The sequence below is a fragment of the Homo sapiens genome, chromosome 7 (genome assembly GCF_000001405.40).
Source record: "Homo sapiens chromosome 7, GRCh38.p14 Primary Assembly".
Taxonomy (NCBI): Eukaryota; Metazoa; Chordata; class Mammalia; order Primates; family Hominidae; genus Homo; species Homo sapiens.
This window is the reverse complement of record NC_000007.14, coordinates 21,219,558-21,234,859: the sequence shown is the minus strand read 5'-3', so window position 1 is coordinate 21,234,859 and position 15,302 is coordinate 21,219,558. Positions and strand designations below refer to the sequence as shown.

At 40.8% G+C, this 15,302-nt stretch overlaps 1 pseudogene; it reads left to right on the top strand.

Annotated features, from left to right (window-relative positions):
• On the top strand, positions 13,330-14,882 carry ASS1P11 (argininosuccinate synthetase 1 pseudogene 11; annotated as a pseudogene).

Genomic DNA, 15,302 nt, shown 5'->3' with positions numbered 1-15,302 from the left:
GATCCCACAGAAATACAAATTACCATCAGAGAATACTATAAACACCTCTATGCAAATAAACTAGAAAATCTACAAGAAATGGATAAATTCCTCGACACATACACCCTCCCAGGACTAAACCAGGAAGAGCTTGAATCCCTGAATAGACCAATAACAGGCTCTGAAATTGAGACAATAATCAATAGCCTACCAACCAAAAAAGTCCAGGACCAGATGGATTCACAGCCAAATTCTACCAGAGGTACAAGAAGGAGCTGGTACCATTCCTTCTGAAACTATTCCAATCAATAGAAAAAGAGGGAATCCTCCCTAACTCATTTTATGAGGCCAGCATCATCCTGATACCAAAGCCTGGCAGAGACACAACAAAAAAAGAGAATTTTAGACCAATATCCCTGATGAACATCGATGCAAAAATCCTCAACAAAATAATGGCAAACCGAATCCAGCAGCACATCAAAAAGCTTATCCACCATGATCAAGTGGGCTTCATTCCTGGGATGCAAGGCTGGTTCAACATACACAAATCAATAAATGTAATCCGGTATATAAACAGAACCAAAGACAAAAACCACATGATTTTCTCAATAGATGCAGAAAAGGCCTTTGACAAAATTCAACAGCCCTTCATGCTGAAAAATCTCAATAAATTAGGTATTGATGGGATGTATCTCAAAATAATAAGAGCTATTCATGACAAACCCACAGCCAATATCATAAAGAATGGGCAAAAACTGGAAGCATTCCCTTTGAAAACTGGCACAAGACAGGGATGCCCTCTCTCACCACTCCTATTCAACATAGTGTTGGAAGTTCTGGCCAGGGCAATCAGGCAGGAGAAAGAAATAAAGGGTATTCAATTAGGAAAAGAGGAAGTCAAATTGTCCCTGTTTGCAGATGACATGATTGCATATTTAGAAAACCCCATCTTCTCAGCCCAAAATCTCCTTAAGCTGATAAGCAACTTCAGCAAAGTCTCAGGATCAAAATAAATGTGCAAAAATCACAAGCATTCTTATATACCAATAACAGACAGAGTCTAATTATGAGTGAACTCCCATTCACAATTGCTTCAAAGAGAATAAAATACCTAGGAGTCTAACTTACAAGGGATGTGAAGGACCTCTTCAAGGGGAACTACAAACCACTGCTCAGCGAAATAAAAGAGGACACAAACAAATGGAAGAACATTCCATTCTCAGGGACAGGAAGAATAAATATTATGAAAATGGCCATACTGCCCAAGGTAATTTATAGATTTAATGCCATCCCCATCAAGCTACCAATGACTTTCTTCACAGAATTGGAAAAAACTACTTTAAAATTCATATGGAACCAAAAAAGAGCCTGCATTGCCAAGACAATCCTAAGCCGAAAGAACAAAGCTGGAGGCATCACGCTACCTGACTTCAAACTATACTACAAGGCTACAGTAACCAAAACAGCATGGTACTGGTACCAAAACAGAGATATAGACCAATGGAACAGAACAGAGCCCTCAAAATAATACCACACATCTACAACCATCTGATCTTTGACAAACCTGACAAAAACAAGAAATGGGAAAATGATTCCCTATTTAATAAATGGTGATGGGAAAACTGGCTAGCCATATGTAGAAAGCTGAAACTGGATCCCTTCCTTATACCTTATACAAAAATTAATTCAAGATGGATTAAAGAGTTAAATGTTAGACCTAAAACCATAAAAACCCTAGAAGAAAACCTAGGCAATAGGCATGGGCAAGGACTTCATGTCTAAAACACCAAAAGCAATGGCAACAAAAGCCAAAATTGACAAATGGGATCTAATTAAACTAAAGAGCTTCTGCACAGCAAAAGAAACCACCATCAGAGTGAACAGGCAACCTACAGAATGGGAGAAAATTTTTGCAATCTACTCATCTGACAAAGGGCTAATATCCAGAATCTACAAAGAACTCAAACAAATTTACAAGAAAAAAACAAACAACCCCATCAAAAAGTGGGTGAAGGATATGAACAGACACTTCTCAAAAGAAGACATTTATGCAGCTAACAGACACATGAAAAAATGCTCATCATTACTGACTGTTAGAGAAATGCAAATCAAAACCACAATGAGATACCATCCCACACCAGTGAGAATGGTGATCATTAAAAAGTCAGGAAACAACAGGTGCTGGACAAGATGTGGAGAAATAGGAACACTTTTACACCATTGGTGGGACTGTAAACTGGTTCAACCATTGTGGAAGACAGTGTGGTGATTCCTCAAGGATCTAGAACTAGAAATACCATTTGACCCAGCCATCCCGTTACTGGGTATATACCCAAAGGATTATAAATCATGCTGCTATAAAGACACATGTACACGTATGTTTATTGCAGCACTATTCACAATAGCAAAGACTTGGAACCAACCCAAATGTCCATCAATGATAGACTGGATTAAGAAAATGTGGCACATATACACCATGGAATACTATGCAGCCATAAAAAATGATGAGTTCATATCCTTTGTAGGGACATGGATGAAGCTGGAAACCATCATTCTCAGCAAACTATCGCAGGGACAAAAAACCAAACACTTCATGTTCTCACTCATAGGTGGGAATTGAACAATGAGAACACTTGGACACAGGAAGGGGAACATCACACACCGGGGACTGTTGTGGGGTGAGGAGAGAGGGGAGGGATAGCATTAGGAGATATACCTAATGTAAACGACGAGTTAATGGGTGCAGCACACCAACATGGCACATGTATACGTATGTAACAAATTTGCACATTGCGCACATGTACCCTAGAACTTAAAATATATATATATATATAAAAAAGATATGCATTACCTTACATACTTTTTTTGTGTGTGGTGAGAACATCTAATATCTGCTCTTAGCAATGTTCAAGAATAGGATATATTGTTATTAACCATAGTCACAATATTGTATAATGGAGCTCTTGAACTTATTCCTACTATCTAACTGAAATTTTGTATCCTTTGACCAACATCTGCTGCCTTTTTTCAGTCAAAAGCAAGTCATAAATTGGCCAGGTGTGGTGGCTCACGCCTGTAATCCCAGCACTTTGGGAGGCTGAAGCAGGTGGATCACTTGAGGCCAAGAGTTTGAGACCAGCCTGGCCAACACAGTGAAACCCTCTCTCTACAAAAAATACAAAAAAAATTAGCCAGGTATGCTGGTGTATGCCTGTAGTCCCAGCTACTTGGGGGGCTGAGGCATGTGGATCGCTTGGACCCCGGAGGTCAAGGCTACAGTGAGCCAAGATGGCACCACTGCACTCAAGCCTGGGGAACAAAGTGAGACCCTGTCTCAAAAAAAAAAAAAAAAAAAAAAGCAAGTCATAACAAGTCATAACTTGAGTCCAGTTGGAGAAGGACTGGGGAAATAGACTCCACCTCTTGGTGGGAGAGAAATGGCAAAGAATTTGTGGGCATCTTCAATCTACCACAGTAGTTATATTTAAAAATTTGAATTTATGTACCTAAAAACAAAACAAAACAAAATAAAGAAAAAATTCCTTTCTATATTATGGTTGTCTGTAAGGACCACATGCTGTTTTTGGTTTCTTTAACCAAATTGTCTTTCCATGAGACTGAGGGTGATGGGATATGGAAAGGTGGTAAGTTGTTTAAGCTTCTTGATAAAAGTGCTGTCTTTGTTTTCTGTTTTCTGATATTTATACAATTATTCCTCTATTAGTGGCTTTTATAATTATTGGGAGTGGGAAAATCTTGAATAAACTGTATAGTAGTCTGGGTATATTAAATTTATCGTATTCTGAGACCTGTATTTCTTTACTTCTTTAACTCAATAAATATTTATTGAATTAGTTAAAAAATTTCTTTAATTCTTGAGGTAGTAACAAACACCGGGAGGCGGAGGTTGCAGTGAGCAGGGATCGCGCCACTGCACTCCATCCTGGCGACAGAGCGAGCTGGGTCTCATAAAAACAAAAAACAATGACCAAGATCCACTCTTTTTAGAAAGGACACACAGTGATTTATGCTTTAAATCCTTGCCTGACTGAAACTCTTGGGACAGGCGTTAATATCCAGATTTTATGTGGAACTGTTGTTTCTCAAGCTTTTAAAAACATTCTATAGCTTTCACCCTTTAAAAAAAAATATATTTCCATAGGTTATTGGAGAACAGGTGGTGTTTGGTTACATGAGTAAGTTCTTTAGTGGTGATTTGTGAGATTTTGGTGCACCCATCACCCGAGCAGTATACACTGCACCCTATTTGTCGTCTTTTTTTCCTCACCCCCTTCCCACACTTTCCCTTGGAATCACCAAAGTCCACTGTGTTATTCTTATGCCTTTGCATCCTCATAGCTTAGCTCTCACTAAAAGAATGAGAACATATGATGTTTGGTTTTCCATTCCTGAGTAACTTCACTTAGAATAATAGTCTCCAATCTCATCCAGGTGACTGCCAATGCCATTAATTCATTCCTTTTTATGGCTGAGTAGTATTCCATTGTATATATATACCACTTTTTCTTTTTTCTTTTTCTTTTTTTTTTTTTTTTTGAGACGGAGTTTCACTCTTACTGCCTAGGCTGGAGTGCAATGGCACGATCTCAGCTCACCGCAACCTCTGCCTCCCAGGTTCAAGCAATTCTCCTGTCTCACCCTCCCGAGTAGCTGGGATCACAGGCATGCACCACCACGCCCAGCTTATTTTGTATTTTTAGTAGAGAAGGGGTTTCTCCATTTTGAGGCTGGTCTCGAACTCCTGACCTCAGGTGATCCACCCACCTCGGCCTCTCAAAGTGCCGGGATTACAGGCGTGAGCCACCATGCCCGGCCTATATATACCACATTTTCTTTATCCACTTGTTGATTGATGAGCATTTGAGCTGGTTTCACATTTTTGCAGTCGTGAATTCTGTAGCTTTCACACTTTAGTTTTTTTTTCAATTAGTGTTGAAAAAGTGAAATTGGGACACTCTGATTGTTGTTTCTTTCTGATTTATAATTATATTATCCCCCTTTGTTCTTGAATTTAAGTTTTGAAAAATATGACTGTTAATTTAAATGTAGGTCCTTTTAATTAATTTTGCCTGGATCCAGGTGAGTCATTTCAAGTCATGATTTTTCTTCCAGAAACTTTCCTTCTTCTATTATATCCTTTACTATTGCTTCATTCATTATTACTCTGGTTTCTGGCTTTGGAAAATTATTTATGTCTGCTGTCAAATCTGTCTTTCATATTTTTTCTCATCTCTTTTACCTCCGCATTTTTAACTCTGCTTCTGGGAGAGTATCTGAAGTGCATCCTCCACAGTACACATATGAATTTACAGATTATTTCAGTAGTTTATACTGAACATCAAAACAAATGTACATTTTTCATCTCATTTTCTTTTGCATTATTTTCTTACATTAGCTATATTTGCATCTGTACGTATCACAGCTTGATTTTTTTCTATAATTGCCTGCTCTTTTTTCAAAGAAATTTTCTTTTTTAATCATTTTGCGGAGCCAAACATAAATACTCTCTTATTTCTACCAGCTTATTATAGGGTAAGTCATGCTCTTCCTCTGAGGCTTTGGGGGAAATATCCCAACTTTGCCTTAAGTGGCAGATTTATTTATTAGCCTTCTTTTCCACAAAAGTGGTTTTCTAGATTACTTGAACTGCAGCAAAATAAATAAATAAATAAATACATAAATATTCAACTAGAGACAGAAAGAGAAAAATCGAAAATTCCTACCCTGAAGACTCCCTCTTTCATGTTAGTGGACACATATTAGTGAGCATCCAAGATAAGATGTGCTAAGATGAGGAAGAAATTGCCCCTGAAGCTCATGATAAATGGAATTCTCTACACCATAATGATTAGAGTCCTTAACAATATCTGGGAGAGGTATAATGTCATGTGGCTAATGACGGGTTAATGGCCTTACCTCAAAGGCAATTCAAGTCTGGAAATATTTAGAATGTGTGGAGGGTTACATGGGTTTCATTTACTTCTTTGAATGATTCCCCCAAAAACTTTACTTTCCTCAATTTTTGCTGAATATTAGGCAGCTGTGATTTTGAAATTGTTCTCTTTGGCAATTATCTGGAGTGTGATTGTTCTCTATTCCCAATTAAATTTGAAACTATGCATTAGTAGAAAGTCAAGCCAGAAGCAAGGTTGACACTCTGCTGTGAAATTACCATAGCCTAGGAAAACCTACATGACTGAGAAAAAGGCACATACATTGATTCTACCTTTATACAGAGAATTACCTAGGAGGCAAGGCATTACTCATGAGCAGAATGAAGCTTCTTAGAAAATAATTTACATCTACTTTTTTTTTTTTTTGAGATGGAGTTTCGCTCTTGTTGCCCAGGCTGGAGTGCAATGGCGCGATCTCCACTCACCGCAACCTCTGCCTCCCGGGTTCAAGCGATTCTCCTGCCTCAGCCTCCATAGTAGCTGGGATTACAGGCATGTGCCACCACACCCAGCTAATTTCGTATTTTTAGTAGAGATGGGGTTTTCTCCATGTTGGTCAGGCTGGTCTCGAACTCCCGACCTCAGGTGATTCGCCCGCCTCTACCGCCCAAAGTGCTGGGATTACAGGCATGAGCCACCATGCCCGGCCTTACATCTACTTTTTAATATAATTTAATTTTTTTGAAGCAGGGTCTCACTCTGTTGCCCAGGGTAGGGTACAGTGGCATGATCTCAGCTCACTACAACCTCTGCATCATGGGCTCAAGCCATTCTCTCAACTCAGCCTTCTGAGTAGCTGAGACTACAGGAGTGCACCACCATGCCCAGCTAATTTTTACAGTCTTTGAAGAGAATGGGTTTTGCCATGTTGCCCAGGCTTACATCTACTTTAATGCACAGACAAATGGAAAAGTCCCAAAGTTCTACTTCTAGACTTTGGGCACAACAATTTTAGCATGAAAATCATTAAGGCAGGTGTACTCAAATACTCCACAGTAGTCAAAATACCAACTCAGTAGAGTATTCAGAATGCATTGTTTTGAGCAATGCTGCTTCATGGTGTGTACACCAAAAAAACTCTTGCTAGCTAAATACAAAACAAATAAATGAGTTGATTATTAAATATAACTATGTTAAAACTTCAGGAGTATTATAAAAGTTTTTTTTTTGGCTTTAAATTAATTGAGAGCCCTTTGGAGAAATGATCAGATGGGAGAGCCAGATGTTCATTACAGCACTTTGAACATGACAATGAGATCCAGATCCTATCTTTTGTATATGTGAAAATTCTTATTTTTTGTGTGTTGAGGATTCTTTCCAAAGCATATTAGACAACAGCCAAAATGGCCTCACCTAAACTTTTGTAAGTGCTTTGATTTTTTTTTTTCCTTTCTTTTAACTTTGGGTCCTCCTATGGGATAGGGATAGTGTAATGACAGTAACTAAAAAATTAGAAATTAAAAAAATAAAATACCTCTAGTTGGATCATTAGCCTCTAAGTGTTTATAAACCTTCCAGTTTTGTGTTCTTGGGTACATTTTCCCCAGAAAGATTCCAAAATCGTTTGTAAAGAAGCTTTTTCCAAAACTGCCTGGAAATGTCTATTTTTCAACAGAGAGAACTGTCTCTCCTGGGGATTTGAGGTCAAGATAATCCCACTTGGAACAAGTCAGCAGGAAAATCATCCTGTGTGCTTTCCCCCGCAGTCAAAAATCTGATAGATAGGTGACAGGTGGGTGGGTGGGTAGGTAGGTAGGTAGGTAGGTAGGTAGATAGATAGATAGATAGATAGATAGATAGATAGATAATTATGGAGAAAGGATAAAATGAGTTTCATTGTGAAGCTTGAAGGTACAAATCATAAAGGACACTATGCAGCTCCAGGGGGAAGTGGCAATGGGATTGTGCTTAGGAAGATGGAATGAATACAAGATTCTCCTACTGGCACCTTCCCTGAGTCACCATAGAGCTAATGGTGGAGAGGTGGTTCCCTCAGAGAAGATCCTAAGCTATTTCCCTCAACAGTGCCCTCAATTTGTACCTTCAGGAAATCCTTGGCTGTATATTATCACAACAATTTCACTACAGCTGTCCTCATAATAAACAAGAAAAACATTTGTTCCACTGCCCTCCCCAACCAAAACGGTGTTTGAGTGTGTGTTTGTGTGAAAGGATACTATACTCAGCAAATTTTTCATGCCTTTTCAAGTATCAGTGCAAAATATGGTAAAAGGTGCAATCCAATTATCCCTTCGCGTTTCCAAAGGAAAGAGTTTTCTGGTGTGAACCTGACCCTTGTGACAAATCAGAATGAAATGGTGCACTTTAAAGGGAACGTTCTTGGTTGGGAACATATAAGCAAGGCTGCAAGTGCTTGAAGGGGCTGATGAAGGCTACAGCATGGACTCTGCTCCCATGTCTGTTGTCATCACTTCTTAAAGGCGTATTTCAACATTGTGAACGTCATTCCTATTATGTGACAAGATGACAAATACTATCCAATGAACCACAACACATAAAAGGGAAAAATAACATTTTCTTACCTTAGGAGGGCTTGAAAGGTCCATCTAGCCGAAGACACCGGCTGATAATACTTTGCCAAGATGGTTTCAACCTGGAGAGATGGGTTCAAAGAGCAGAATTTTAACAAAGAAGGAGGGTGAGATAAAATAAGGATTTAGCAAGAAGCCAGCCTGGGAAACACAAGATGAACTTTGACCAAATATTCTAAATCTGAATTCCTAAAGGAGGCTTTTCTCATTGCCCTTTTTAACATCCATATTGAAATAGGTGAATAGGTGAAAATGGTTTCCGATAGTCAAAGCAGAATCTCTCAAAATATAAAAAAGTGAAGAAATTTTCTAACAAACATAGGCCTCCAAACATTGTGTTTTCAGTTCTGACCCTGCCTGGGTATCACTTACAGACAGACAGATTTTTTAATTGTTTCTTTGGGTTGCAGCTCATATGTCTATATGAGCTATAATCATTCTGTGAACTGGCTCCACTTGCGGATTCAGGCTCACACAGCAGATCTGCTGCCAGTCAGTCATGCAGTCCTGACTGAATAGTTTTTCACAGCCTGATCAATCAGATATCATCCTGAATGGTTGTTTTCTCCTACTCGGGGTTGTTTGTTTAAGTTCAACAAGTGTCAGGGGAATTTAATGGACCATGTGGTGGCAACATCAGCTAAGTGAGTGATTCTTTGATGTTCCCTGTTCTTACAAGAACAGGGGATAAGATTGAATGTTTACAGACTTCAGAATAAATTTTGGGGCATGGGGTGGTGAAATTGTATTCTGGTAAAAACTGGGCATGATTAAGGAGTTTTTTTTTTTGTTTTATTTGTTTTGTTTTGTTTTTTTTCTGAGAAGGAGTCTTGCTTTGTTACCCAGGCTGGAGTGCAGAGGCATGATCTTGGCTCGCTGCAACCTCTCGCTCCCAGGTTCAAGCAATTCTCCTCCCTCAGCCTCCCAAGTAGCTGTGATGACACATGCACACCACCACATATGGGTAATTTTTGTATTTTTAGTAGAGACGGGGTTTCGCCATGTTGGCCAGGCTGGTATCAAACTCTTGCCTCAGTTGTTCTGCCTGCCTCGGCCTCCCAAAGTGCTGGGATTATAGGCGTGAGCCACTGCGCCTGGTCGGGAGTTTTTATTTAATTTAAAATGTACTACCTTAGTTCCTAGGCATCCCTCACCTCTGAAGATCATTTACAGCAGGACAATATTCATATGTATAGAATTATTAGATCTTGGGTGCTTGGAGGGACAAGGGATTAACACCAAGCTCTGGAAGCCCGATTTTGTGATTCCATGGATGAAGTTTACATAAGGGGTGAGAACAATGGTTCACATTTCAGAGCATCAGGTTTTGCCTATACAACTGTAGAAAAATTCATGTGTCTTCAGAGCTTCCTCTATATATAGGTCTCACATTGTTGGCTCTGTATTACCTCTTTGTGATGTTATTAAACCCCATAAAGTGGTTTGGGATTTCAAAGCTAAAAATAAAAGGCTCAGAGAAGTACTAATTAAGTGCACAGGCTCATGTTCATGCTGTCAGGTTCATATCCTGTATCCACCCATCATCTATTAATGATTTAGACCTTGGACAAGTTACTTAACCTCTCTGAAGCTCAGTGTTTGCAGCAGTAAAAAGGGGATAATAACAGGTATGTCTCAGAGGAGTGGTGTGAGGATTAATTGGACTGATGCCTGTATAGGTCCTAGCACAGTGCCTGCCACATAGTGTTCACTGAATAAACAATAACCACTCTTTTAGGATGTGACACAAGTAATCTTTGGGAAACAGAGCCTGCAGAGGAGATGCTATGTCCATATGAACTGACTAAAACCAACTTGATTACAGGCCTGATTACCCAATTTCCACATTTCCTTTTGCGTGCCTTTCCTTTAATTTTCTATCCATTCATTTCTATCCATATCATTGCATAATTCTCAACACAACCTAGTGCAGGATAATTCTGCTAGAGAAAAGGCAAACAGAGTGAGATGGGCTCCACGCGAAGCTTAGTAGAGTGAACAGATAAAAGGAAACCCATCATCTGGTTTACTGTAGAATGGTTAGTAGGGGGATTGGTGGAAGCAGACCACTGAAATATATTTTTATATGATGTGAGATATTATCTTGATTTTCTTGGCCATAATAAGCATGGACCATCAAGGGGTGAAGTTAATCTTCTGGGCATCTTTTCACACAGGCATGGGTGTGCTCATGCCTAGCCCCCCCAAGCACACACACATATGTATTTGTGTGCATATCAACACAGCTGCACATGCACATATGCAGAACATCCTTCTGATATTAGTGCCCTTTCATTTGCAATAAATTCTGCCTTCAATCCTGTATGACATAGCTGACAAAAGGACACAGTTACTACATAAGTGTTTGAGGCACGGACGGCAGCCCTTGGACTCAAACATTGATTTGCAGGTGTTCTGCCATCCTCTATAAAGAAAAGACCGTGTCCTTGGCATCAGTGATAGAGAAATCTTCAAAGGAGAGGTTGGTTAAAAATAAGCATTTTAGAAAAAAAAAAAAACACTTGCTATTCCACTGTCACTGCCCGAGAGAGGAAGATGTGGAGTCAATTTAGTGAGCTTCAATTGTAGCTGACTTTGGAAGAAATAATATACTCATGTCTCTTTGGATGCATACTGAAGAGGGAGCTATGTGAAGGGCTGCGATTTTGCAGATTGCAACCTGATCAGACTTCCAAACACAGACTATTACCTAAAAACACAGAGAGAGAAATCCCTGTATCTTAGAGGACCAGTGATTTAAGGGTTTCCCAATTCATTTCTAAAATGTATGTGGGAGGTTCTCTATTTTCATAATTTTCTTGTCAAGCTTGACACCAGGAAGAGGTGTGAAAAGGGCCAAGCTTTATTGGCAGGCAAGGTCAGACACTTCCTTTACAGGGAGAGTTCAGAGGCATCAGAAGGGCCTCTTATTCCCTAGATCCCATAAACACTACTTGATACCTAAAATGCAACCACAGAATCTACATTTAAAGTCATTTGCTTGGAAGTCACAAGTTAGGAAGGGAGGAAGTCCAGTCTCCAAGGTGAAGAGTGGCTGGGGAGGGAAGAGTGTATACAAATATCTTCCTCAGGCATAGAATTGGCCAAAAGACAGATTAAAAAAAATGCTCCACATGACTTATCACCAGAGAGATGCAAATCAAAACCACACTGAGATACCATCTCAAAATGGTTATTATTAAAAAGTCAGAAAGTAACAGATGATGATGAAGATGCAGAGAGAAGGGAATGCTTATACACTGTTGGTGGGAATATAAATTAGTTCAACTCCTGTGGGAAACAGTATGGAGATTTCTCAAAGAACTAAAAACAGATCTAATATTCAGAGCAGTTTCACTGCTGGGTATCTACTCAAAGAAAAAGAAATCATTTTATCAAAAAGACACCTACACTCATATGTTTATTGCAGCACTATTCACAAAGACATAGAATCAAAACCTAAGTGTTCATCAATAGTTGACTGGATAAAGAAAATGCGGCACATATACATATGGAATACTATGCAGCCATAAAAATAATGAAATCCTGTCCTTTGCAGCAACATGGATGGAGCTGGAAGCAATTATCCTAAATAAAATGACTCAGAAACAGAAAATCAAATGCCACATGTTCTCACTTAAAAGTGGGAGCAAAACAATGGGTACATATGAACATAAAGATGGAAATAACAGACACTAATGACTCCAAAAGAGGGAAAGGTGGGAAGGGGATAACGGGTGAAAATTATCTATTGAGTACAATGTTCACTATTTGGGTGCTGGGTTCACTACAAGCCTTAACCTCATCATCACACAGTATTTCCATATAACGAACCTGCACGTGTACTCCCTGAATCTAAAATAAAATAAGTTGAGCAAAAAAAGTCTTCCTTATCACAGTTCTGCAAAGAGCTGGCCTGCAGAGGTATCAACAGTGAGCAATCTTCAGAGAATGAAAGTGGAAGGCCACAGAGTGGGTGCATTGACAATGAGCATTAAACTGCAAAAGAGAAATGCAACTGAAGGTAAAGTTGGTTGGCTCTATATTAGGGGAGAACTTTGAAGAGACATCCCACATGCAACCTGACTCCCTGACACTACCATATAATAATTTTCCCTCCTGGAGGAAGTGGATACAATAAACAGATTGTGAGTATCTCAAGAAGAGTATCCCAAGGGCTCCGCTATGAAAGGTTTTATCTGGTTGCAATAAAAGAGAACGTGTAGCATCATTAAACACCCAATAAAAGCCCCCCTTCTTGAAATCACACAATTTTGCCTTTTATATTTATATAAAAGAATAGACTGACACTTATTCAACCATGTTTCAAGTGAGGCATAAGAACGCTGTATATGGCTGTCACCATGGCCTTTATTTCTACCTCGAGTGGAACAAAAAGAGAGATGAGAAAATTGTTTCCTAGATTATCTAGTGGTGACAGCAGGGACTTGGCTATAGGTCTTGAGCAAAATCCTCTGGGACTCAGCAACATGGTCCAGTGTCCTACATGAGCTTTGATGCCTGTGACTCTCCATACAGCTGAAAAATCCCACTTCCTGGCAGAGGACAGGGAAAGGTTTCAGGAACACCTGGCTTTGCAACTGATAAGGGATGAAGAGAGAATTAAATTTTCGAACTGGTTTCAGCTTCTTTGCCTCATTATATCTGTCAGAAGGGAATATTTTCTGTGAAGTTTTACTACGTGGCATGGCTAACTGAGCCTAGAAACCCTGTTTACTAGATGAGCCTGGAAAGCCACCATCTTGGGAGGCTTGGCCATGGTATCAGAGAATAGTTGGCAGGTAAAAAAAATTGCATATAGCCCTGCTCTGTCGCCTGCCGCCTCTGCCCGGGCCCGAGTGGTTCACTGCACCCTGAAGACAGATTCCAGACGCCGGGAACTCGTGCCTCTAATCCCAGACGTTATGTCCAGCAAAGGCTCAGTGGTTCTGGCCTACAGTGGCGGTCTGGACACCTCGTGTATCCTCGTGTGGCTGAAGGAACAAGGCTATGACGTCACTGCCTACCTGGCCAACATTGGCCAGAAGGAAGACTTCGAGGAAGCAAGGAAGAAGGCACCAAAGCTTGGGACCAAAAAGGTGTTCACTGAGGGTGTCAGCAGGGAGTTTGTGGAGGAGTTCATCTGGCCAGCCATCCAGTCCAGCTCACTGTATGAGGACGGCTACCTCCTGGGCACCTCTCACACCAGGCCCTGCACCGCCCGCAAACAAGTGGAAATCCCCCAGCGGGAGGGGGCCAAGTTATGTGTGTCATGGCTCAGGTCTGGTTTGAGCTCACCTGCTACTCACTGGCCCCCCAGATAAAGGTCATTGCTCCCTGGAGCATGCCCGAATTCTACAACCACTTCAAGGGCTGCAGTGACCTGACGGAATACACAAAGCAACACGGGATTCCCATCCCAGTCACTCCCAAGAACCCGTGGAACATGGACGAGAACCTCATGCACATCAGCTACGAAGCTGGAATCCTAGAGGACCCCCAAGAACCAAGCGCCTCCAGGTCTCTACCCGAAGACCCAGGACTGGCCAAAGCCCCCAACACCCCTGACATTCTCGAGATCGAGTTCAAAAAAGGGGTCTTCTTGAAGGTTACCAACGTCAAGGATGGCACCACCCACCAGACCTCCTTGGCGCTCTTCATGTACCTGAATGAAGTCACGGGAAAGCACTGCGTGGGCCGTATTGACATCGTGGAGAACTGCTTCATTGGAATGAAGTCCCGAGGTATCTACGAGACCCCAGCAGGCACCATCCTTTACCACGCTCATTTAGACATCGAGACCTTCACCATGGACTGGGAAGTGCGCAAAATCAAACAAGGCCTGGGCTTGAAATGTGCTGAGCTGGTGTATACTGGTTTCTGGCACAGCCCTGAGTGTGAATTTGTCCGCCACTCCATCGCCAAGTCCCAGGAGCGAGTGGAAAGGAAAGTACAGGTGTCCCTCTTCAAGGACCAGGTGTACATCCTCGGCTGGGAGTCCCCACGGTCTCTCTACAACGAGGAGCTGGTGAGCATGAACGTGCATGGTGATTATGAGCCAATTGATGCCACCGGTTTCATCAACATCAATTCCCTCAGGCTGAAGGAATATCATCATCTCCAGAGCAAGGTCACTGCCAATTAGAACCCTGTACAGGGAGAAGCTGGGGCTTCCTCAATTTGCAGATCCCCCAAGTACAGGCGCTAATTGTTGTGATAATTTGCAGTTGTGACTTGTTCTCCCCTGCAGGCAGCGTAGTGGGGCTGCCAGGCCCCCGCTTTGTTCCCTGGACCCCCTGAAGCCGGCAAACCTGGTCATCAAAGGGAAGGGTGGGGGGCAGCTGCGGTGGGGAGCTGTAAAATGACGATTAAAAGAAAAAATTGCATATAAACTTAGGGATCGGTCACTCTCCTTCTAACCATGAATATACTCCCCACTTGTAACTCTATTGAATAATACAAATGTAAGTTACCATGCACATATAAAGAAAAAAATGGTGGAAAAATTCCTTAAGAGTATGAGCAATAACAGCCAGTAGTACACCTAAAAAAAAGCTAGTGTTACTATGGTTAAGCATTGGTTTGGGGGTGGTCACTGAACTCTATTGCTTTCCAAGTTCTTCCAGCTTGGTCTAAGTGAGTGCATAGTTGCATGTCTATTGGACTTGAAGAAGTTTCTCCAGAACCGAGAAATTTGAAGAATTTTTAAAGTTTGTATTTCTAATTCATTCATCCATATGTTTATCCAATAAATATTTATTTAGAGCCTACTATGTGCCAGGCACTCTCCAAGTAA